At 53.0% G+C, this 23223-nt stretch overlaps 1 protein-coding gene across 2 annotated transcripts, besides 7 other annotated features; it reads right to left on the minus strand.

The window, feature by feature from the left end:
- Window positions 1-5068: 5068 nt before the first annotated feature.
- Window positions 5069-22300, minus strand: KEAP1 (kelch like ECH associated protein 1). Of its 2 annotated transcripts, none has more exons than NM_203500.2 (6): window positions 22185-22300; window positions 18339-19024; window positions 10521-11206; window positions 8592-8797; window positions 8136-8312; window positions 5069-5762 (listed from the first exon to the last, which is right to left on the minus strand). In NM_203500.2, the coding sequence occupies exons 2-6, from the start codon at window positions 18975-18977 to the stop codon at window positions 5596-5598; spliced, it is 1875 nt and encodes a 624-aa protein (NP_987096.1). In that variant the 5' UTR covers window positions 18978-19024; window positions 22185-22300; the 3' UTR covers window positions 5069-5595. The 2 variants fall into 2 exon arrangements, with proteins under 2 accessions (NP_987096.1, NP_036421.2); NM_012289.4 differs by lacking the exon at window positions 22185-22300 and adding an exon at window positions 21641-21715.
- Window positions 10863-11363: an enhancer, noted in NCBI's record as "H3K27ac-H3K4me1 hESC enhancer chr19:10602595-10603095 (GRCh37/hg19 assembly coordinates)". NCBI's record gives its function as "activates a minimal SCP1, AML or CMV promoter by ChIP-STARR-seq in primed H9 embryonic stem cells {active_cell/tissue: H9 hESC(primed)}" and the evidence as "EXISTENCE:reporter gene assay evidence [ECO:0000049][PMID:30033119]".
- Window positions 18997-19291: a silencer, noted in NCBI's record as "tiled region #8442; K562 Repressive non-DNase unmatched - State 14:Gen5'". NCBI's record gives its function as "represses a minimal TATA promoter and a strong SV40 promoter by Sharpr-MPRA in K562 cells {active_cell/tissue: K562}" and the evidence as "EXISTENCE:reporter gene assay evidence [ECO:0000049][PMID:27701403]".
- Window positions 20786-21035: an enhancer, noted in NCBI's record as "active region_13974". NCBI's record gives its function as "activates an Ori minimal core promoter by ATAC-STARR-seq in GM12878 lymphoblastoid cells {active_cell/tissue: GM12878}" and the evidence as "EXISTENCE:reporter gene assay evidence [ECO:0000049][PMID:35858748]".
- Window positions 21012-21567: an enhancer, noted in NCBI's record as "H3K27ac hESC enhancer chr19:10612744-10613299 (GRCh37/hg19 assembly coordinates)". NCBI's record gives its function as "activates a minimal SCP1, AML or CMV promoter by ChIP-STARR-seq in primed H9 embryonic stem cells {active_cell/tissue: H9 hESC(primed)}" and the evidence as "EXISTENCE:reporter gene assay evidence [ECO:0000049][PMID:30033119]".
- Window positions 21012-21685: a biological region, named in NCBI's record as "H3K27ac hESC enhancer GRCh37_chr19:10612744-10613299".
- Window positions 21406-21685: a silencer, noted in NCBI's record as "silent region_10077". NCBI's record gives its function as "represses an Ori minimal core promoter by ATAC-STARR-seq in GM12878 lymphoblastoid cells {active_cell/tissue: GM12878}" and the evidence as "EXISTENCE:reporter gene assay evidence [ECO:0000049][PMID:35858748]".
- Window positions 21696-22315: a silencer, noted in NCBI's record as "silent region_10078". NCBI's record gives its function as "represses an Ori minimal core promoter by ATAC-STARR-seq in GM12878 lymphoblastoid cells {active_cell/tissue: GM12878}" and the evidence as "EXISTENCE:reporter gene assay evidence [ECO:0000049][PMID:35858748]".

Below are 23223 nucleotides of genomic sequence, written 5' to 3' on the forward strand. Positions count from 1 at the left end.
CACCTGAGGTCAGAAGTTCGAGACCAACCTGACCAACATGGAGAAACCCCGTCACTACTAAAAATACAAAATTAGCCAGGCGTGGTGGTGCATGCCTGTAATCCCAGCTACTCGGGAGGCTGAGGCAGGAGAATTGCTTGAACCGGGGAGGCAGAGGTTGCAGTGAGCCAAGATCACACCATTGCACTCCAGCCTGGGTAACAAGAGCGAAACTCTGTCTCAAAAAAAAAAAAAAAAAAAAAAAAAAAAAAAAGAGGCTGGGGGGTGGCTCATGCCTGTAATCCCAGCACTTTGGGAGGCCAAGGAGGGCAGATCAGGAGGTCAGGAGATCGAAACCATCCTGGCCAACATGGTGAAACCCCGTCTCTACTAAAAAAAAAATACAAAAAATTAGCTGAGCGAGGTGGCTGATGCCTGTAGTCCCAGCTACTCGGGAGGCTGAAGCAGAATGGCGTGAACCTGGGAGGCGGAGCTTGCAGTGAGCTGAGATCGCGCCACTGCACTCCAGCCTGGGCGACAGAGCGAGACTCCGTCTCAAAAAAAAGAAAGGGAAACTTAAAATATTCATAAAGATTAATCGAGTGAAAGGCCAGGTGCCGTGGCTCACGCCTGTAATCCCAGCACTTTGGGAGGCCGAGGAGGGCGGATCATGAGGTCAGGAGATCGAGACCATCCTGGCTAACACGGTGAAACCCCGTCTCTACTAAAAATACAAAAAATTAGCCGGGCGCGGTGGCGGGCACCTGTAGTCCCAGCTACTCGGGAGGCTGAGGCAGGAGACTGGCATGAACCTGGGAGGCGGAGCTTGCAGTGAGCCGAGATAGCGGCACTGCAATCCGGCCTGGGAGAAAGAGCGAGACTCCATCTCAAAAAAAATAAAAAATAAAATAACTGAGTGAAGGGGGACAGGTGCTTTGGCTTATGCCTATAATCCCAGCCCTTTGGGAGGCTGAGGCAGGAGAAACTCTTGAGGTCAGGAGTTCAAGACCAGCCTGGGCAACATAGCCTGCTTGGTGGCGTACACCTGTGGTCCCAGCTACTTGAAAGACTGAGGTGGGAGGATCACTTAAAACTGGGAGGTCATGCCTGTAGTAGTGAGCCTTGATCTGGCCATAGCCCTCCAGCCTGGACAACAGAGTCACTCTGTCTCGAAAAAATAAATAAAAATAAAAAAATAAACTGAGAGACGGCCAGGTAGGATGACATGTGAGGAGTAGACGGATGTAGGGTAGAAATAAAAGAGACCCCATGTAGGATAGTTGAGACTTGAGGGAAAAATAAACCAACTTCTTGGGTAATGTAATTATTAGTCTTTCAGGCCCCTGAAGCTGAGCGTAAATGAAGGCTGAGGCAACTGAAGTTGGCACTAGGAGATTCGGTTTCCTTTTCTTACCACCCTTATCAAGATAATTGCTTAATCCCGGAGGATCCTGGGACATGTAGTCTAAAAAGAGTGTTCCTGCTTTAAAAGGTGGCACCGGCCGGGCGCGGTGGCTCACGCCTGTAATCCCAGCGCTTTGAGAGGCCGAGGCGGGCGGATCACGAGGTCAGGAGATCAAGACCATCTTGGCTAACACGGTGAAACCCCAACTCTACTAAAAATACAAAAAATTAGCCCGGCGTAGTGGCAGGCGCCTGTAGTCCCAGCTACTCGGGAGGCTGAGGCAGGAGAATGGCGTGAACCCGGGAGGCGGAGTTTGCAGTGAGCCGAGATTGCGCCACTGCACCCCAAACTGGGTGACAGAGCCAGACTCCGTCTCAAAAAAAATAAAATAAATAAAATAAATATAAATAAATAAAAGGTGGCACCACAGGCCGGGCGCGGTGGCTCACGCCTGTAATCTCAGCACTTTGGGAGGCTGAGGCGGGCAGATCACGAGGTCAGGAGTTCAAGACCACCCTGACCAATATGGTGAAATCTTGCCACTACTTAAATATACAAAAATTAGCGGGACATGGTGGCACATGCCTGTAGTCCCAGCTACTTGGAAGGCTGAGGCAGGAGAATCGCTCGAACCCAGGAGGCAGAGGTTGCAGTGAGCCAAGATCACACCACTGCGCTCCAGCCTGGGCAACAAAGCGAGACTCTGTCTCAAAAAAAAAAAAAAAAAAGTTTGCGCCATAAAATTAGTTACAACCCTGAGCAGTGGATAGGGTGCTGGTGCTTGCAGGAGGGCGAGTCCTTTAAATAGGGAACTCCCTCAAAGCATGTGCACTTTTATTTGATTTATAAGAAATATCATTTGGTCCAAAGTTTTGAAGAATGAAACAGATGTTTGCTCTTGTTGCCCATGCTGGAGTGCAGTGGTTAAGATCTCGGCTTACCACAACCTCCACCTCCCGGGTTCAAGCGGTTCTCCTTCCTCAGCCTCCCGAGTAGCTAGGATTACAGGCATGTGCCACCACGCCCGGCTAATTTTGTATTTTTAGTAGAGACAGGGTTTCTCCATGTTAGTCAGGCTAGTCTAGAACTCCCGAGCTTAGGTGATCTACCCATCTGGGCCTCCCAAATTGCTGCGATTACAGGCGTGAGCCACCCCACCTGGCCCGGAGAATGCTACTTTTAAAAATAGGAACAAGCCAGGAGCTCATCCAATCTTGTTCCTTTTCTAACTTTCTTTCTCTGGAAATAGTTCCTTTTCTAACTTTCTTTCTCTGGGCCTCTTTCACCCAGAGGCCCACAAGAGGGTGCTGTCTGCCTTTTAGATGGAACTTCCTGACTCTGCCCTGAGGGTATTCATCCCAGAGCTATACCTCCCGGGTTCAAGCGATTCTCCTGCCTCAGCCTCCCGAGTAGCTGGGATTACAGGCACATGCCACCACGGGCAGCTAATTTTTGTATTTTTAGTAGAGACAGTGTTTCACCATGTTGGCCAGGCTGGTCTTGAACTCCTGACCTCAGGTGATCCGCCTGCCTCAGCCTCCCAAAGTGCTGGGATTACAGGCGTGAGCCACCACACCCAGCCTTATTTTATTTTAGAGTCAGGGGTATTGCTGTGTCACCCAGGCTAGAGTGCAGTGGTGCAGTCATAGCTCAGTGCAGCCTCAAACTCCTGGGCTCAAGTCACCTCCCGCCTCAGCCTCCCAAAGAGTTGTGATTACTGGCATGAGCCATTGTACCTGGACAGCCTGTGAATTTTACTTATTTATTATTTTTATTTTTGAGACAGAGTCTTACTCTGCTGCCCAGGCTGGAGTGCAGCGGCGCGATCTTGGCTCACCACAACCTCTGCCTCTCGAGTTCAAGTGATTCTCGTGCCTCAGCCTCCTGAGTAGCTGGGATTACAGGCGTGCACCAGCACCCCCAGATAATTTTTGTATTTTTTAGTAGAGACAGGGTCACACTACGCTGTCCAGGCTGGCCTCCCAACTCCTGAGCTTAAACAATCCACCTACCTTGGCCTCCCAAACTGTTGGGATTATAGGCAGGAGCCACCACACCTGGCCCAGCCTATGAATTTTATCTATTTATTTATTTATTATTATTATTTTTTGAGACGGTGTCTCGCTCAGTAGCCCAGGCTGGGGTGCAGTGGCGCGATCTTGGCTCACTGCAAGCTCTGCCTCCTGGGTTTACGCCATTTTCCTGCCTCAGTCTCCCAAGTAGCTGGGACTACAGGCGCCAGCCACTGCGCCCGGCTAATTTTTTTTTTTTTTTGTATTTTTAGTAGAGACGGGGTTTCACCGTGTTAGCCAGGATGGTCTCGATCTCCTGACCTTGTGATCCGCCCGTCTCGGCCTCCCAAAGAGCTGGGATTACAGGCGTGAGCCACTGCGCCCAGCCATGAATTTTAAATTATACAACTAAAGTGGTCTGCTGTGAAATGTTATCATGATCATTCTAACGTCAACAGTCTTGACAATTCTGCCCAATTTCAGCATTTCAGGTTTCCAGTACTTAACTCATTCCTAAGTAAATAATACTACATTACAAGGCAAGGTGACACACACCTGTAATCCCAGCACTTTGGGAGGCCGAGTCAGGGGATCCCTTGAGCCCAGGAGTTCAAGACCAGCCTGGGCAATAAGGCAAAACCTCATTTCTATAAAAAATACAAAAATTAGCTGGGCATAGTGGCACATGTCTGTAGTCCCAGTTACTGAGGAGGCTGAGGTGGGAGGATCACTTGAGCCCAGGAATTCAACGCTGAAGTGAGCTACTATCCCTCCACTTCAGCCGGGGCAACAGAGCAAGACCTTGTCTCTGGGAAAAAAAAAGAAAAACTTGAAAGAGAAGAACTATTGAGGAAGGAAAAGGGTGATACCTTTGGTTGTGTCTAAATTTACCAGGCTGCACGTGGTGGCTCATGCCTATAATCCCAGCACTGTGGGAGGCCAAGGTGGGTGGATCACTTGAGGTCAGGAGTTCGAGACCAGCCTGGCCAATATGGTGAAACACTGTTTCTACTAAAAATACAAAAATTAGCTGGGTGTGGTGGTGCGCAGCTGTAATCCTAGAGACTCGAGAGGCTGAGGCAGGAGAATCGCTTGAACCCTGGAGGAGGAGGTTGCAAAACTCCGTCTTGAAAAAAAAAAGTAGGCCGGGCATGGTGGCTCACGCCTGTAATCCCAGCACTTTGGGAGGCCGAGGTGGGCGGATCACCTGAGGTCAGGAGTTGAGATCAGCCTCACCAACATGGAGAAATCCTACTGAAATACAAAACTAGCCAGGCGTGGTGGCACATGCCTGTAATCCCAGCTACTCGGGAGGCTGAGGCAGGAGAATCACTTGAACCTAGGAGGCAGAGGTCGCAGTGAGCTGAGATCCCGCCATCGCACTTCAGCCTGGGCCACAAGGGCAAAACTCCATCTCAAAAAAAAAAAAAAATGACCTTGGGGAGCCCTAGGAGATGTGACTAGGAATTAGCTGCTTGTCTTCCAAGGCAGCTGAAACTGAAGGACAACTGTGTGGCTTGCCTACGGGGAGAAAGATGCCCTACATATAAAAATGCGATGGGCAAAGATTACAAACTGGTTTCAAATACCAGCCCTAAGTCAAAGAGGAGTGTGTTTCAGAAGAAGAGCCCTTTCTGGCCCCCGGTTTCAGGCCTCCAGCCCAGAGCCAGGGTGAAAGACACTAGTTAGTCTGTTCTTTATTTTCCTTGGAAAATTACAGGGTTACTTATCAACAAAATAACTGTCCATCCGGTGGGGAAGTGCCATCCGGTGGCTTCTATGTACAGGCCCATCCCTGGGAACCACATTTCCAGAGGGGGCCTCCCCCTGAGGCCCCCATTGGCCCCCTCCCAGGTATCCAAGAATAAATCACATGGTGACAGCTGCCGGCATGGGTGAGTGGGACCCAGGCCTATTACCCGGCCAGAGGGTTTGGGGGCCTCTCTCCTGGAAGCCTGCTCTTTCCACACCCCCTTTCCCAGCCAGGCTGTCTTGGACACTCCCGGGGCTCCGCTGAGGGGCACATGATTCCCGCTTTGGACTTCTTTTGAGATGTCATTTTAACACTGAGGCATCCTGGCCTCCCTTCCCGGAAGATGGGTTATTTGCAGTGCTGTCTTTTCTTTTAGTCCCGGTTTTTGTACAAAAACAATGATACTCCCCATTGGACTGTATTTTTGCCCAAGAAACAAAAGTGCCTCAACAGGTACAGTTCTGCTGGTCAATCTGCTTCCGGCAGGGCTCCATGGTGACAGCCACGCCCACCCCACTCCGGCCCGATGTCATTCGGGTCACCTCGCTCCAGGTGTCTGTATCTGGGTCGTAACACTCCACACTGTCCAGGAACGTGTGACCATCATAGCCTCCTGCGGGAAGAACAGAAGGGATGGTCACCACCTGTCACACCACATCCAAGAGCAGGGGACAGAAAGAGAGAGATGCAGCTGTGAGATGCAAAAGCAGGCCGGGCGTGGTGGCTCACGCCTATAATCCTAGCACTTTGCAGGGCTGAGGCAGGAGGATTGCTTGAGGCCAGGAGTTCGAAGCCAGCCTGGGCAACATAGCAAAACCTTAGTCTCTTACTAAAAAAAAAAAAAAAAAAAAAAAATGGCCAGGCTTGGTAGCTCACGCCTATAATCCCAGCACTTTGGGAGACTGAGGTGGGTGGATCACTTGAGTCCAGGAGTTTGAGACCAGCCTGGGCAACATGGTGAAGCCCCATCTCTACAAAAAAACATAAAAATTTAGCCAGGCTTGGTGGTGCGCGCCTGTAGTCCTAGCTATTAGGGAGGCTGAGGTGGGGAGGATCAGTTGAGTCTGGGAGGCAGAGGTTGCAGTGAGCAGAGGCTGCACCACTGTACTCTAGCCTAGGCAACAGAGTGAGACCCTATCTCAAAATAAATAAATAAAAATAGGAAAATAGGCCACTCGCGGTGGCTCATGCCTGCAATCCCAGCACTTTGGGAGGCCGAGGCGGGCAGATCACCTGAGATCAGGAGTTCGAGGCCAGCCTCGCCAACAGAGTGAAACCCTGTATCTACTAAAAATACAAAATTAGATGCGATTGGTGATGCACGCCTGTAATCTCAGCTACCTGGGAGACTGAGGTAGGAGAATCGCTTGAACCCGGGAGGCGGAGGTTGCAGTGAGCTGAGATTGTGCCACTGCACTCCAGCCTGGTGACAGAGCAAGACTCCACCTCAAAATAAATAAATAAATAAATAAACAAAAAATAAAAAAATAAAAATAAAATAAAATAAAGGCCGGGCACAGTGGCTCATGCCTGTAATCCCAGGACTTTCGGAGGCTGAGGCAGGTGGATCACCTGAGGTCAGGAGTTCAAGACCAGCCTGGCTAACATTGTGAAACCCCGTCTCTACTAAAAATCAAAATTGGCCGGGCATGGTGGCTCACACCTGTAATCCCATCCCTCTGGGAGGCCGAGGCGGGCAGATCACCTGAGGTCAGGAGTTCGAGACCAGCCTGACCAACATGGAGAAAACCCTTCTCTACTAAAAATACAAAATTAGCCGGGCGTGGTGGCGCATGCCTGTAACCTCAGCTACTCGGGAGGCTGAGGGAGGAAAATCGCTTGAACCTGCCAGGTGGAGGTTGCAGTGAGCCGAGATCGAGCCATTGCACTCCAGCATGGGCAACGAAAGTGAAACTCCATCTCAAAAAAAAATTAGCTAGGCGTGGTGGCACGTGCCTGTATTCCCAGCTACTCAGGAGGCTGAGACAGGAGAATCACTTGAACCTGGGAAGCAGAGGTTGCAGTGAGCCAAGATTGCGCCATTGCACTCCAGCCTGGGCAACATGAGCAAAACTCTGTCTCAAAAAAATAAAATAAAATAAAATAAAAATAAACAAAAACATTAAGCTGGGCGCGGTGGCTCACACCTGTAATCCCAGCACTTTGGGAGGCTGAGGTGGGCAGATCACCTGAGGTCAGGCGTTCAAGACCAGCCTGACCAACATGGTGAAACCCCATCTCTACTAAAATACAAAAATTAGCTGGGCATAGTGGCAGGCGCCTGTAATCTCAGCTACTTGGGAGGCTGATGGGGGAGAATCACTTGAAACCAGGAGGCGGAGGTTGCAGTGAGCTGAGATCGTGCCATTGCACTCCAGCCTGGCAACAGACTGAGACTCTGTCTCAAAAAACAAAACAAAACAAAACAAAACAAAAAACAAAACAGGCCGGGCGCGGTGGCTCATGCCTCTAATCCTAGCACTTTGGGAGGCCGAGGCAGGTGGATCACGAGGTCAGGAGTTCGAGACCATCCTGGCCAACATGGTGAAACCCTGTCTCTACTAAAATACAAAAAATTAGCCTGGTGTGGTGGCATGTGCCTGTAGTCGCAGCTACTCAGGAGGCTGAGACAGGAGAATCGCTTGAACCCAGGAGGTGGAGGTTGCAGTGAGCTGAGATCATGCCATTGCACTCCAGCCTGGGCAACACTGTGAGACACCATCTCAAAAGAAAAAAAACATTAGCCGGGTGTGGTGGTGCGCGCCTGTGGTCCCTGCTACTTGGGAGGCTGAGGCAGGAGGATGGCTGGAGCCCAGGCTGTTGAGGCTCCAGCGAGCTGTGATCACACCACTGCACTCCAGCTGGGCAACAGAGCGAGACCTTGTTTCTAAAAAAAAAAAAAAAAAAAAAAAAAAGGAAAGCAAAAGCAAAAGCAGTCCACAAAAGATGGGCTAGTCAGGACTCTTCCCCGCCCCCAGGGCCTCACCAAGGACGTAGATTCTCCCCTGGTGGACAGTGATCCCCAGGGCACTTCGCCGGTGCTTCATGGGGGCTACGAAAGTCCACGTCTCTGTTTCCACATCGTAGCGCTCCACGCTGTTCAGCTGGTCCTGACCATCATAGCCCCCAGCAGCATAGATACAGTTGTGCAGGACGCAGACGCCTAAAGGGCACCATGCAGAGAAGGTGACTCTGGGGGTCTGGCTTTGGGAACCCCAGCCATCACCTCCTTGAGGGAGACCTTTCCTCTCTCCTCTCCCTTCTCACCCTCAGAAATGAAGCGGGGAGAGAGAGAAGCTTGGACTCTATCAGAATCCAGGGCTTCTGTGGTTACCCCAGCATGAGGGTTGCAACAGGGGGTCTCTCCCAGGCCTGGCTCAGTTTCACCCCAGGATGGTAGGGGGTGTTCCTGGGTGCTCCCCTCCCTACCGTCCCCACCCACCTGCCCCGCTTCGGATGGTGTTCATTGCTGTGATCATTCGCCACTCGTTCCTCTCTGGGTAGTAACACTCAGCTGAATTAAGGCGGTTTGTCCCGTCAAAGCCCCCCACGGCATAAAGGAGACGATTGAGGACAGCCACGCCCACCCCGATCCTTCGTGTCAGCATTGGGGCCACCAAGTGCCACTCATCCCGCTCTGGCTCATACCTGCAAGGGCGTAAGAAAAATGGGGACAATGGCCATTATAGCTGACCTTCGTGGAATACTTAAGGGCCAGATACTCTTTTTTTTCCTTTTTTTTTTCCCCCTTAAAGAGACAGGTTCATCCGGCGCGATGGCTCATGCCTGTAATCCCAGCACTTTGGGAGGCCGAGGAGGGCGGATCACCTGAGCTCAGGAGTTTGAGACCAGCCTGGCCAACATGGTAAAAACCTGTCTCTACTAAAAGTACAAAAATTAGCTGGGTGTGATGGCAGATGCCTGTAATCCCAGCTACTCGGGAGGCTGAGGCGAGATAATCACTTGAACCTGGGAGGCGGAGGTTGCAGCGAGCTGAGATCATGCCACTGCACTCCAACCTGGGCAACAGAGCGAGACTCCATCTCAAAAAAAAAAAAAGAAAAAAAGAGACAGGGTCTTGCTCCGTTGTCCAGGCTGGAGTGCAGTGGTGCAATCACTGAAGCTTCAAACTTTTTTTTTTTTTTTTTTTTTGAGATGGAGTGCAATGGTGAGAGCATGGCTCACTGCAACCTCCACCTCCTGGGTTCAAGCAGTTATTCAGCCTCAGCCTCACAAGTAGCTGGGATAACAGGCACCCACCACCACGCCCGGCTAATTTTTGTATTTTTAGTAGAAATTGGGTTTCGCCATGTTGGCCAGGCTGGTCTCAAACACCTGACCTCAAGTGATCTGCCTGCCTCAGCTTTCCAAAGGGCTGGGATTATAGGCATGAGCCACCACACCCAGCCTGCAGCTATCAACTCTTGGGCTCAAGGAACCCTCCTGGCTCAGCCTCCTGAGTAGCTGGGACTACAGGTGCACACCACCGTGCCCACCTCCACTCGAACTCTAGTGCTTGCAGTTGTTCTCCAAGGATTGAGGTATCAGCAACTCCATTTTCCAAATGACAAAACTGAGCCTCCTAGCCATCAATTGCTCAAGTTCAAAAACACATCTGATAAACCCCTAGTGGCTCAGCCAGATCCCCCACTTCACAGATAACAAGATAACATCTCAGAAAGGAGAAATCACACATTCAGCATCACTCTTTGATGCTCAAAGAGTCCTTTAGGTCCGGCACAGTGGCTCACACCTGTAATCGCAGCACTTTGGGAGGTTGAGGTGGGAGAATCCCTTGAGGACAGGAGTTCAAGACCAGCCTGGCCAACATGGTGAAACCCCATCTCTACAAAAAATACAAAAATTAACCAGGCGTGGTGGTGGGTACTTGTAGTCCCAGCTACCCCAGGGTCTGAGGCAGGAGAATCACTTGAACCTGGGAGGCGAGGTTGCAGTGACCCAAGATGCACTCCAGCCTGGGCAACAGAGCAAGAGAGACAGGGTCTTACTCTATTGCCCAGGCTAGTCTCCTGGACTCAAGCAATCCTCCCACCTCAGCCTCCCAAAGTCCCTGATTATAGGTATGGGCCACAGTGCCTAGCCCAACAATTTCAAACTGATGGAACATTTTCCAACTCCGCACAAAGGAACCATATGGGTTTGTGACAGTCCCCTAAGCATTTCCCAGCCCCAGGCACAGAATCAAAGGTCACTGACTAGAACTCTCCAAGGAGCTTAGCTTCATCCTGAGGCCTCCACTCCCTGAAGACAGGAAGAGGAAACAGCCTCAGGAAGAATACCCGGATCTCAGTGTCTTGGGACTTGCCAGGAGCAGGACCCTCCGAGCCCACCCCCAGGCCCTGCCACTCACCTCTCCACACTGTTGTGGTGGATGCAGCCGTGGGAGCCGCCGACGGCATAGATGTGGCCATCGATGACCCCCACCCCGATGCGGTTACGGGGCACGCTCATGGGGGCGCAGGGCGACCACTGATTGGTCATGGGGTTGTAACAGTCCAGGGCGCTGGAGTCGGTGTTGCCGTCGGGCGAGTTGTTCCTGCCGCCCACGGCGTACAACAGCCCGCCCACCACGCAGCCGGCCAGGCCGCTCCGCGGCACCTGCAGGTCCGCCAACCGGAGCCAGGTGCCGTCACTGGGGTTGTAAGCCTCCAGGTAGCTGAGCGACTGTCGGAAGTAGCCGCCCGCGGTGTAGATCAGGCGGCCCACCTTGGGCGCCCGGCAGGGCATCACCTGCGTGGGCTTGTGCAGGGTGAGCTCCTCGAAGATCTTGACCAGGTAGTCCTTGCAGCGGGAGTCGGACTGCAGGATCTCGCACTTCTGCAGCTGCATCTGCAGGAAGTTCGGCGTCAACGAGTGGCAGCGCACGGCCCGCAGCAGCGCCTGGACGTAGAACCGTCGCTGTTCGCAGTCGTACTTGACCCAGTTGATGCAGGCGTGGAAGACCTCGGACTCGCAGCGCACGTTCAGGTCGTCCCGGCTGATGAGGGTCACCAGTTGGCAGTGGGACAGGTTGAAGAACTCCTCTTGCTTGGCCACCTGCAGAGGGCGACAGTGGGACGGGCTGACTCTCCAGTCACCCCCACACCTCACCAAGCAGGACCGGGACAAGTAACTTATCACTGCCGCTGACAGTCTCAGCTTCCTTATCTGCTAAATGGGGATTCAAATAATAGGAACCGCGTACATTGTGATGACTAAATGAGTTAATCCTGCCGGGCGCGGTGGCTCACGCCTGTAATGCCAGCACTTTGGGAGGCCGAGGCTGGCGGATCACGAGGTCAGGAGTTGAGAGACAAGCCTGGCCAATATGGTGAAACCCCATCTCTACTAAAAATACAAAAATTACCCGGGTGTGGTGGCACACGCCTCTAGTCCCAGCTACTCGGGAGGCTGAAGCAGAAGAATCGCTTGAACCCGGGAGGCGGGAGGCGGAGGTTGCAGTGAGCCGATATTGCGCCACTGCACTCCAGCCTGGGCGACAGAGCAAGACTCTGTCTCAAAGAAAAAAAAAAAAGAGTTAATACTATGTGCCAAGTATGTCATCAGGACTCAGGAAAATGGGCAAAGACTCAGTAGATCGTGTACCCTGGGGTATCATTTGGCTTTGGTTTTTGAGACAGAGTCTCACTCTGTCACCCAGGCTGGAGTGCAGTGGCATGATCTAGGCTCACTGCAACCTCTGCCTCCCAGGTTCAAGCAATTCTCCTGCCTCAGCCTCTCAAGTAGCTGACATTACAGGCACCTACCACCATGCCCCGTTAATTTTTATTTTATTTTATTTTATTTTGATATGGATTCTTACTCTGTTGCCCAAGCTGGAGTGCAGTGGTGTGATCTTGCTTCACTGCAACCTCCGCCACCCAGGTTCAAGTGATTCTCCTGCCTCAGCCTCCCAAGTAGCTAGGATTACAGGAGTGTGCCTCCAGAGCAGCTAATTTTTTTTTTTTTTTTGGAGACAGTCTTGCTCTGTCGCCCAGGCTGGAGTGCAGTGGAGCGATCTCCGCTTGCTGCAACCTCCGCCTCCTGGGTTCACGCCATTCTCCTGCCTCAGCCTCCCGATTAGCTGGGACTACAGGCGCCCGCGACCACGCCCAGCTAAGTTTTTTTGTATTTTTTTAGTAGAGATGGGGTTTCACCGTGTTAGCCAGGATGGTCTCGATCTCCTGACCTTGTGATCCACCCGCCTTAGCCTCCCAAAGTGCTGGGATTACAGGCGTGAGCCACCGCGCCCGGCCATTTTTTTGTATTTATTTTTAGTAGAGACGGAGTTTCACTATGTATTTTTAGTAGAGATGGCATTTCTTCATGTTGGCCAGGCTGGTCTCAAACTCTTTTTTTTTTTTTTTTTTTTTTGAGATGGAGTCTCGCTCTTTTGCCCAGGCCGGACTGCAGTGGCGCTATCTCGGCTCACTGCAAGCTCCACCTCCCGGGTTCACGCCATTCTCCTGCCTCAGCCTCCCGAGTAGCTGGGACTACAGGGGCCCACCACCGTGCCTGGCTAATATTTTTTGTATTTTTAGTAGAGACGGGGTGACTGTGTTAGCCAGGATGATCTTGATCTCCTGACCTCGTGATCCGCCCGCCTCGGCCTCCCAAAGTGCTGGGATTACAAGCGTGAGCCACCTCGCCTGGCCAGTCTTGAACTCTTGACCTTAGGTGATCTGCCCATCTCAGCCTCCCTAAGTGCTAGGATTACAGGCGTGAGCCACCGGACCTGGCCTGTTTTTGCTTTTGAGACACAGTTTTGCTCTGTCACCTAGGCTGTAGTGCAGTGGCACAATCATAGCTCACTGTAGCCTTGAACTCCTGGGCTCAAACGATCTTCCCACCTCAGCCTCCTGAGTCGCTGGGACTACAGGTGTGTGCCACCACGCACAGCTAATTTTCATATTTTTATGGTAGAGACGGGGTTTCACCATGTTGGCCAGGTTGGTCTGGAACTCCTGACCTCAAGTGGCCCACCCCCTTGCCTTCCAAAGTGCTGGGATTACAGGCATGAGCCACCGTGTCCGGCCGTTGGTCTTAAACTCTTGAGCTCAAATGATTCTCCTACTTCAGCCTCCTGAGGATTACAGGTGTGCATCACCATACCTGGCTTGGCTTTTTTTTTTTTTTTTTTTTTGAGATGGAGTCTCGCTCTGTCGCCCAGGCTGGAGTGCAGGGGTGCAATCTCGGCTCACTGCAAGCTCCACCTCCCGGGTTCACGCCATTCTCCTGCCTCAGCCTCCCGAGTAGCTGGGACTACAGGCGCCCACCACCACACCCGGCTAATTTTTGTTTTTGTATTTTTAGTAGAGACGGGATTTCACCGTGTTAACCAGGCTGGTCTTGAACTCCTGACCTCAGGTGATCTGCCTGCCTCGGCCTCCCAAAGTGCTGGGATTACAGGCCTGAGCCACCGCGCCTGGCCTCTGAGTTTTCTGTTTGTTTCTTTTTTTTTTTTTTTTGAGATGGAGTCTCGCTCTGTCGCCCAGGCTGGAGTGCAGTGGCACGATCTTGCCTCACTGCAAGCTCTGCCATCCAGGTTCATGCGATTCTCCTGCCTCAGCCTCCGAGTAGCTGGGACTACAGGTGCCCACCACCATATCCAGCTAATTTTTTGTATTTTTAGTAGAGACGGGGTTTCACCATGTTAGCTAGGATGGTCTCGATCTCCTGACCTCGTGATCCGCCTGCCTCAGCCTCCCAAAGTGCTGGGATTACAGGCGTGAGCCAACGCGCCCGGCCTCTTTTGTTTCTTTTTTTTTTTTGAGACAGAGTCTCACTCTGTCGTCAGGCTGGATACAGTGGCGTGATCTCGGCTCACTGCAACCTCTGTCTCCGGGTTCAAATGATTCTTCTGCCTCAGCCTCAGCCTCCTGAGTAGCTGGGACTACAGGCACGCACAACCACACCCGGCTAATTTTTGTATTTTTAGTAGAGATGGGATGTCTGAGTTTATTTTTTAAGAGACAGGGTCTTGCTCTGTCACCTATGGTGGAGTGCAGAGGTGCCACTGTAACCTCAAATTCCTGGGCTCATGTGATTCTCCTGCCTCAGCCTCCCAAAGCACTGAGATTATACGCACGAGCCAACTCACCCATCTTGTTTTTTAAAATGAAATCATTTTCTAAAATGGCAAATAGACTAAAAAAGGAAAAAATAAGCAATCACAATAGAATGTTGTGGAAAAAAACAAGTGACAGCTCTGGGCCAGCACAGTGGTTCCCACCTGTAATCCCAGCACTTTGGGAGGCCAAAGCAGGCGGATCACCTGAGGTCAGAAGTCCGAGACCAGCCTGGCCAACACGGTGAAACCCCGTCTCTACTAAAAACAAAAAAATTAGCCAGCTGTGGTGGTGGGCACCTGTAATCCCAGTTACTGAGGAGGCTGAGGCAGGAAAATCGCTTGAATCCAGGAGGCAGAGATTGCAGTGAGCTGAGATTGTGCCACTGTACTCCAGCCTGAGCAACAGAGTGAGACTCCATCTCCAAAAAAAAAAAAAGTGGAAGCTCCGAAGAAACCAGCATGAGTTGGAATTTTGATCCGACCACTTCGTAGGTGTGTAACTTGGGCAAATCTCTGAAATGCTCCATGTCTTGGTTTTCCTCCTCTGTAAAATGGGATTATATTAATGGCCACCTCAAAGTAAGGCTACTTCTAGGGTATACAGAGCCCTGGATAAATATTTCTTGTAGCCAGGTGTGGTGGCTCACGCCTGTAATCCTGGTACTTTGGGAGACCAAGGCGGGAAGATTGCTTGAGCCCAGGAGTTTAAGACCAGCCTGGGCAACATAGCGAGACCTCATCTCTACCAAGAAAAGATATAAAAATTAGCCAAGCATGGTAGCTCACGCCTGTAGTCTCAGCTACTCAGGAGACTGAGGTGGGAGGATCACTTGAGCCCAGGAGCTGGAGTTTGTGATAAGCAGAGATCGTGCCACTGAAGTCCAGCCTGGGTGACAGAGTGAGACCCTGTCTCTAAAAAAAGAAAAAAAAAAAAAAAAGGCCAGGTGCGGTGGCTCACACACGTAATCCCAGCACTTTGGGATGCCAAGTCGGGCGGATCACTTGAGGTCAGGAGTTCAAGACCAGCCTGACCAACATGGTGAAACCCCATCTCTACAAAAAATACAAAAATTATCTGGGCATGGTGACACATGCCTATAATCCCAGCTACTTGGGAGGCTGAGGAATGAGAATCACTTGAACCCGAGAGGCGGAGGTTGCAGTGAGCCGAGATCATGCCACTATACTCCAGCCTGATGACAGAGTGAGACTCTGTCCCCCACCCCCAAAAAAAAAAAAAAGGGGGCTTGGCGTGGTGGCTCAAGCCTGTAATCCCAACACTTTGGGAGGCTGAGGTGGGCGGATCACGTGAGGTAAGGAGTTCCAGACCAGCCTGGCCAACATGGTGAAACCCTGTCTCTACTAAAAATACAAAAATTAGCCAGCGTGGTGGTGCACCCCTGTAATCCCAGCTACTTCGGAGGCTGAGGCATGAGAATCGCTTGAACCCAGGACATGGAGGCTTGCAGTGAGCCGAAATCTTGCCACTGCACTTCAGCCTGGGCGATAGAGCCAGACTCAGTCTCAAAAACAAAAAAGGACTGGGCGGTGGGGGGCGGGCGTGGGCGCAGTGTCTCATGCCTGTAATCCCAGCACAGTTAGGGAGGCCAAGGCAGGCAGATCACCTGAGCTCAGGGGTTCGAGACCAGCCTGGCCAACATGGTGAAACCCCATCTGTACTAAAAATATTTTTTAAAAATTAGCTGGGCATAGTGGTAGGCACCTGTAATCCCAGCTACTTGGGAGGCTGAGGCAGGAGAATTGCTTGAACCCAGGAGATGGAGGTTGCAGTGAGCCGATACAGTGCCACTGCATGCCAGCCTGGGTGACAGAGTGAGACTCCGTCTCAAAAAAAAAAAAAAAAGTTGTCAGGCACTCGTCTATGTAATCAGTTTTAATCTAGTACCCCATGTTCATACAAACACAAGAAAGAAACACTGTATATGTTTCTCCTACTGTATAGACCACTTTCCTAGAAGCTGCAGGCCCTAGGACTAACGCCAGAGAACCCTGGGGCGTCTGATCAACCCCACATGTAACATAGAGGGTAGGAAAGAATCTATCCCTGAAGGAGAGAAATAGAGATCAGTGTAACATCCATCCCAGCTGGTACCAGCCAGTGGGGGACTTAGAAAATTTCCAGGAAGGAACACCAAGACATGGGACTCCCGAAGGCTTAGGGCCTGGGGCACTGCCCTGCTTGCCTAGGCTGAAGGGTAGTACTGCCTCATAGGACAGTTGGGAACAGTCAATGATGCAAAGGACATAAATCACTTAGAACAGGGGCTGGCCCACAGCAAGTGCTCAATAAACACTTCTTGGCCTGGTGTTGGTATGGTGCTTCATACCTGTAATCCCAACACTACGGGAGGCCAAAGCCAGAGGATTGTTCAAAGCCAGGAGGTTCGAGACCAGTCTCAGCAACATAGCAAGACCCTGTCTCTACAAAAAAATTTAAAAACTAAAAAATTAGCCATGCGTGGTGCTGCATACCTATAGTCCCAGCTACTCAGGAGGCTGAGATAGGAGGCCTCCTTGAGCCCAAGAGTTGGAGGCTACAGTGAGCTATGATGGCACCACTGTATTCCAGCCTGGGGACAGAGCAAGACCTCATCTCTTCAAAAACTTTTTCTTTTTTTTTTGAGACAGAGTTTCGCTCTTATTGCCCAGGCTGGAGTGCAATGGCGCAATCTCAGCTCACTGCAACCTCCGCCTCCCGGGTTCAAGCGATTCTCCTGCCTCAGCCTCCTGAGTAGCTGGGATTACAAGCATGAGCCACCATGCCAGGCTAATTTTGCATTTTTAATAGAGACGTGGTTTCTCCATGTTGGTCAGGCTGGTCTTGAACTCCCGACCGCAGGTGATCTGCCCACCTTGGCCTTCCAAAGTGCTGGGATTATAGGCATGAGCCACCGCGCCCAGGCTTTTTTTTTTTTTTTTTTGAGACAGAGTCTTGCTCTGTCGCCCAGGCTGGAGTGCAATGGTGCGATCTCGGCTCACTGCAACCTCCACCTCCCCGGTTCAAGCGATTCTCCTGTCTCAGCCTCTCGAGTAGCAGGGACTATAGTCACATGCCACTACACCCGGCTAGTTTTCTTTTTTTGTATTTTTATTAGAGATGGGGTTTCACCATATTGGTCAGGCTGGTCTCAAACTCCTGACCTCAGGTGAGCCACCCGCCTCAGCCTCCCAAAGTGCTGGGATTACAGGCGTGAGCCACTGGGCCCTGCCCTCTCTTGTCAATTTCTATAGATAATTTCCTTCACTGAGAAATGTGAAAACGAAACCAAAAACAGTATAAGGACATTGTGTGGACCAAAGAAAACATGACTAAGGTTCAGACTTACAGCTTGCAGCCTGTCACGGGTGTCCAATAAACATTTGCTGACTGCCCGAAAGGCTGGGCTACCCTAGGATTTGGCTGCTGTTCACTGCACTCTGCCCCACTTTGACCCCAGAGAAACCAGGGAGCCCAGAGACATATGAAGACCTCACCTTCCCCAGCTGTTCACCAGTCTCCCCACATGTGTAGACAAGGAACTCAGAACCCCAGTTGTTTTTTAATTTTTTTTTTTTTTGAAACTGAGTCTTGCTCTGTTGCGCAAGCTGGAGTGCAGTGGCTCGATCTCCACTCACTGCAACCTCCACCTCTTGGTTCAAGCGATTCTCCTGCCTCAGCCTCCTGAGCAGCTGGGACTACAGGCGCCCGCCACCAGGCCTGGCTAATTTTTATATTTTTAGTAGAGATGGGTTTTAGCTATGTGGGCCAGGCTGGTCTTGAACTCCTTACCTCAGGTGATCCACCTGCCTCGGCCTCCCAAAGTGTTGGGATTACAGGCATGAGCCACCACGCCCGGCCCCAGTTGTTTTTTGTTTGTGTGTTTGTTTGTTTAGAGACAGGGTGTCATTATGTTGCCTGGGCTGGTCTTGAACTCTTGGCCTGAAGCAATCCCCCCGCCTCAGCCCCTCAAACTGTGGAGACTACACCACCATACCCAGCCCAGAACCTCCTTTTTCTCCAGTTTCCTGCCTTGACATCTCAAGGGGAGACAGTGATGAGCACTCGTCCATCCCTGGTCCTTCTCCTGACACTGCCCCCAGCCCCACTTCCCCGCTCACCTCCCCAAAATGCATGTAGATGTACTCCCGGGCACGCTGGTGCAACTCCACACAGCCAATCTGCTCAGCGAAGTTGGCGATGCCGATGGCATTGCTGGGGTCCAGCTGCTGCACCAGGAAGTCACTGCAGGCACGGACAACGCTGTCGATCTGGTACATGACAGCACCGTTCATGACGTGGAGGACACACTTCTCGCCCATGGAGATGGAGGCCGTGTAGGCGAATTCAATGAGGCGCTCCATGACCTTGGGGTGGATACCCTCAATGGACACCACCTCCATGCCCTGCTCCCGCAGCCCGTTGGTGAACATGGCCTTGAAGACAGGGCTGGATGAGGCCAGCACCACCTTGTGGGCCATGAACTGGGCGGCCGGTGCATCCTGGTACTTGACCTGCAGTGTGACGTCACACAGCTGCTGGCTGAGCCGCAGCTCGTTCATGATGCCAAAGGCCTGCTTGGTATGATCCTCCAGGGTGTAGCTGAAGGTGCGGTTGCCATGCTGGGAGGGCGTCACCTCCGCCTTGCACTCAGTGGAGGCGTACATCACCGCGTCCCCTGCCCCCTCAGGGCACTGTGACTGCAGGGGCAGGAATCGGCAGCAGGCCCCAGCCCCGCTAGGCCTGGGATCTGGCTGCATGGGGTTCCAGAAGATAAGCAACACCACCACCTCTGGCACTCAGGGACCTGGAGGGGAGAGAGCACAGGGCAGAGGGCAGGGGTTGGGACTGGGCCAGCACCTGCCGGGCCTCGTTTTGCAAGATAAAGCAATTCCTAGGTCAGTTTTCCTGCAAAGTAGGTGAAGCAGAATCCATTTGCAAACTTGCAAACTTCCCCGACCTGATCAACCTGATTGGCCCAAGAGCCCATCTTAAAACATACATGAAGTCATGTCTCTCCCCTGCTCTGGATCCTCCAATGCCTCCCACAGTACCTAGTAAAACTGAACTCCTCAACAGCCTGCAAAGCCCTACGCAATTAGCCCCTGCCACCTCTTCCCTTTGATCACTCTGCTTCAGCAATCTGGCGGCCTTTCCCTTTCTAGAGCATGTTGAGCTCATTCCTTCATTTGCCTCACCATTTACTGGGCACCTACTGTATGCCAGGCACTGATCTGGGTGCTGAAGACACAGCAGTGAGCAAAATACAAAAATCCTACCCTGCCAGAGCTGACAACTGCAGGGAGGAGCAATCATAAACTAAAATAAGCAAGACCTGGAAAAACAGCTTCATGAAGAAAATTACAACAGCATTGTGACAACGTGAGAATCGGGTGCAGTTTGTTTGCTTTTTTTTTTTTTTTTTTCAGATGGAGTCTCTCTGTCACCCAGGCTGGAGTGCAATGGCTCGATCTTGGCTCACTGCAACCTCCGCCTCCCGGGTTCAAGCGATCCTCCTGCCTCAGCCTCCCGAGTAGCTGGGACTACAGGCGTCCGCCACCACACCCGGCTAGTTTTTGTATTTTTAGCAGAGACTGGGTTTCGCCATGTTGGCCAGGCTGGTCTCAAACTCCTGACCTCAAGTGAGCCGCCCGCCTTGGCATCCCGAAGTGCTGGGATTACAGGCGTAAGCCACCATGCCTGACCCGGGGTGCAGTTTTTTAAAATCTGGCAGACCAAGCCTCTTTGAGAAGGTGAGGTTGGAGCTGAGACAAGGATGAAAATTATTATAAAGTGGGAGGCTGGGGAGTAGTTTTCCAGGCAGAGGAAACAGTAAGTGCAGTGGCTCAGAGGCTGAGACAGTCAATCTGGAGAATTGGGAAGGAGTGCAGTGAGAGCTAAGGACTTAAGGAAGGGTTTCATGGAAACCCCTGGATCCTGGAGGGCCAGGAGATGAGTTATGTGTTTTGTGTTTTGTTTTTCGAGACAGAGTCTCGCTCTGTTGCCCAGGCTGGAGTACAGTGGTGCGATCTTGGCTCACTGCAACCTCTGCCTCCCGAGTTCAAGATATTCTCGACCGGGCGTGGTGGCTCACGCCTGTAATCCCAGCACTTTGGGAGGCCGAGGCAGGCGGATCACAAGGTCAGAAGATCGAGACCATCCTGGCTAACATGGTGAAACCCCATCTCTACTAAAAATACAAAAAAATTAGCCGGGTGTGGCGGCGGGCGCCTGTAGTCCCAGCTACATGGGAGGCTGAGGCGGGAGAAAGGCGTGAACCCAGGAAGCAGAGCTTGCAGTGAGCCGAGATCGCACCACTGCATTCCAGCCTGGGTGACAGAACAAGACTCCATCTCAAATAAAACAAAAAAAAGATATTCTCATACTTCGGCCTCCTGAGTAGCTGGGATTACAGGCACCAGCCACCACGATGGGCTAATTTTTTGTATTTTTAGTAGAGATGGGATTTCACCATGTTGGCCAGGGTGGTCTCAACCTCCTGGCCTCAAGTGATCCCCCTCCTCGACCTCCCAAAATGCTGGGATTACAGGCATAGGCTGCTGTGCCCAGACGTGAGTTACGTTTCAAAAGGAGTGGGGGATCTCCAAGTGGCTCCCCACAAGTGGATCTGCAAGTTCTCACTCCCCTCTTTCTGGGACTCAACTCAAAGTCTCCTCTTCCCTGTTTTATTGTCATCACTGCGCTTGTCAGGAACTGAAATGACCTCCTTTGCTTGTCTGTTGATCGACTGTCTCTCGTCCCCGGCCCCAGCGCCTCAAATGGCAGGGAGACCTATGTAGGTCGGCGTCGGGCCAACCCTCTCCTGTGCCTCTCGCCTGGGGCCTGGCACTGCGCAGGGGTCAATAAACGGGTGGTTGGCTAACTGCCCTGCCACCGTGCCTGCCAGAGCGGCCTCCTCCACCCTCCCTGGGTGCCACTCGGCCCCCACTCTGGTGCCAAGGCCCTGGGTTTGCCTCTTGGTCTTTGGCCAATCGGTCAACAATGCCCCTTGGGCACCGGGCACTTCCCCCACCCTACAAAGCGGCAAGTGGGCGACTGCGCATGCCCCTCCTGAGCCTCCACCAGGCCCAGTGAGGCGAGGAAGTGACCCCACCGCGGCCTCTCGGCTGCCAACCCCAGAACGCAGATCGAGCCCCTCAACGCCTCGGAGCCCCCGGGCCTCCTTCTGCGCAGCGCCTCCTGGTTCTCTCGCTCGGTTTCCGCCGCTCCCGGGCCACCCCAAGAGTTGCGCCGTCCAACAAAAATATCCACCCAGGTCGCGCCCTCCTGGCCCTCCGAGTCCTGGCGGGGAACTCGGAGGCGCCCTGGGCCGTGGCGCCCGTTTTCCTGGTCTCCGGGCACGGCCGCAGGGGCGCTCGCGGCCCGCGATGCCCGCAGCCCGGGCACATCCCGCCTCACTCACCCCGCCATGGCCGCGCTCCGGCTCCGCCTCCACCGCCCGAGCCCCGGCGCCTCCATCGCTGCGCGTGGGGGAGGCGCGGAGCGCGCGCAGGTCACCATGACTAAGCAGAGCCGGGCGCCCGCCGTGTCACAATAAAAGTCCCCGGGCCCTGGCCTCAGGCGGTAGGGACCGCTGAGGGGCCGCTCCCCACCCCCGCCCACGCCTGCTGTCGCCCAGCTGCGCGGCCACCACGGCGCCCAGCATGGCGGCGGGGCGGGGGCACGCGACCCTGAGCGCGCTTAGCCGCGTGGTCCGAGTCGCGGGGAGTCTGAACCCCGAGTTCCAGGCCTGCGCGCCCCGGCCCGCACCAGGGGTGGGGTGGACACCCCTCCCCGTCGCTGCTGCCCAAGCGCTCACCTCAGCCCCCAGGTCGCCTCCGTAGGGGGTCCCTCGGGGTGGGGATGGCCGGGGCGCGCAGGGGCTCCGGGCACAGTGATGCCACCCGCGCACTGCGCTTCCGGGAAGCCGGGGGACCGCGACCCAGTCCAGGAGATTCCTGCCTTACCTTGGCTGTAGGGGACCCGCGGGCGCCTCCGCCGTCGGGGGGCCTCGGCTCCAGGGCTGCGTGGCCTGCGGGGTCTTGGTTGTCGGTTGGGGAGCGGCCTCGGGACGCCCGAAAAGGAGGCGGGGAGAGGGCGGAAAGGGCGCGGCGGGAAAGGAGCGGCGATTCTCCCGCCCTTCCCGCAGGTGCCCGGCGCCCGTCGGCGAGGAGTGGGGCATCGGGCGGGGGCGCACAGCCAGGCCCCCCTTCTCACTGTCCCTTCCATCTCCCGATTTCGTTGCTGGATGTCTCCTCGCGGGGCTGCGCGCCACCATCTGCTATTCTCCTTTTAACAACGCACAGCGCCGGCCTCGTGGTCCGGCGGCCGCAGGATCTAGGGAAAATTATCTACCTCGCTAGGTTTTCTTTTCTTTTCTTTTCTTTCTTTCTTTCTTTTTTTTTTTCCTTTAGAGACAAGGTCTCGCTCTGATCTGCACGCCCAGGCTGGAGTGCAGTGGCGCAATCGCGGCTCACTGCAGCCTTGAGCTCCTGGCCTCAAGCGATCCTCCCACCTCAGCCTCCTGAGTAGCTGGGACCACAGACAGGCGCCACCACACCCGGCTAATTTTTAGTTTTTGTTTGTTTGTTTGTTTTTCTGTAGAGATGGGGTCTCGCAATGTTGCCCAGGCTGGTCTTGAACACCTGGGTTTAAGAGATCCTGACTCCATTGGCCTCCCAAAGTTCTGGGATTATAGGTGTGAGGCGCTGTGCCCAGGCCTCAGGTTTTCCTTGTCTTTTTTTTTTTTTTTTTTTTTTAATTGAGACAGAGTCTCTCACTGTCACCTGGGCTGGAGTGCAGTAGCTCGATCTTGGCTCACTGCAACCTCCGCCTCCCGGGTTCAAAAAATTCTGCCTCAGCCTCCCGAGTAGCTGGGATTACAGGCGCCCGCCATCATACCCAGCTAATTTTTTGTATTTTTAGTACAGATGGGGTTTCACCATGTTGGCCAGGATGGTCTCAAACCCCTGACCTCATGATCCGCCCGCCTCGGCCTCCCAAAGT

Source organism: Homo sapiens, chromosome 19, assembly GCF_000001405.40.
Source record: "Homo sapiens chromosome 19, GRCh38.p14 Primary Assembly".
Lineage (NCBI taxonomy): Eukaryota > Metazoa > Chordata > Mammalia > Primates > Hominidae > Homo > Homo sapiens.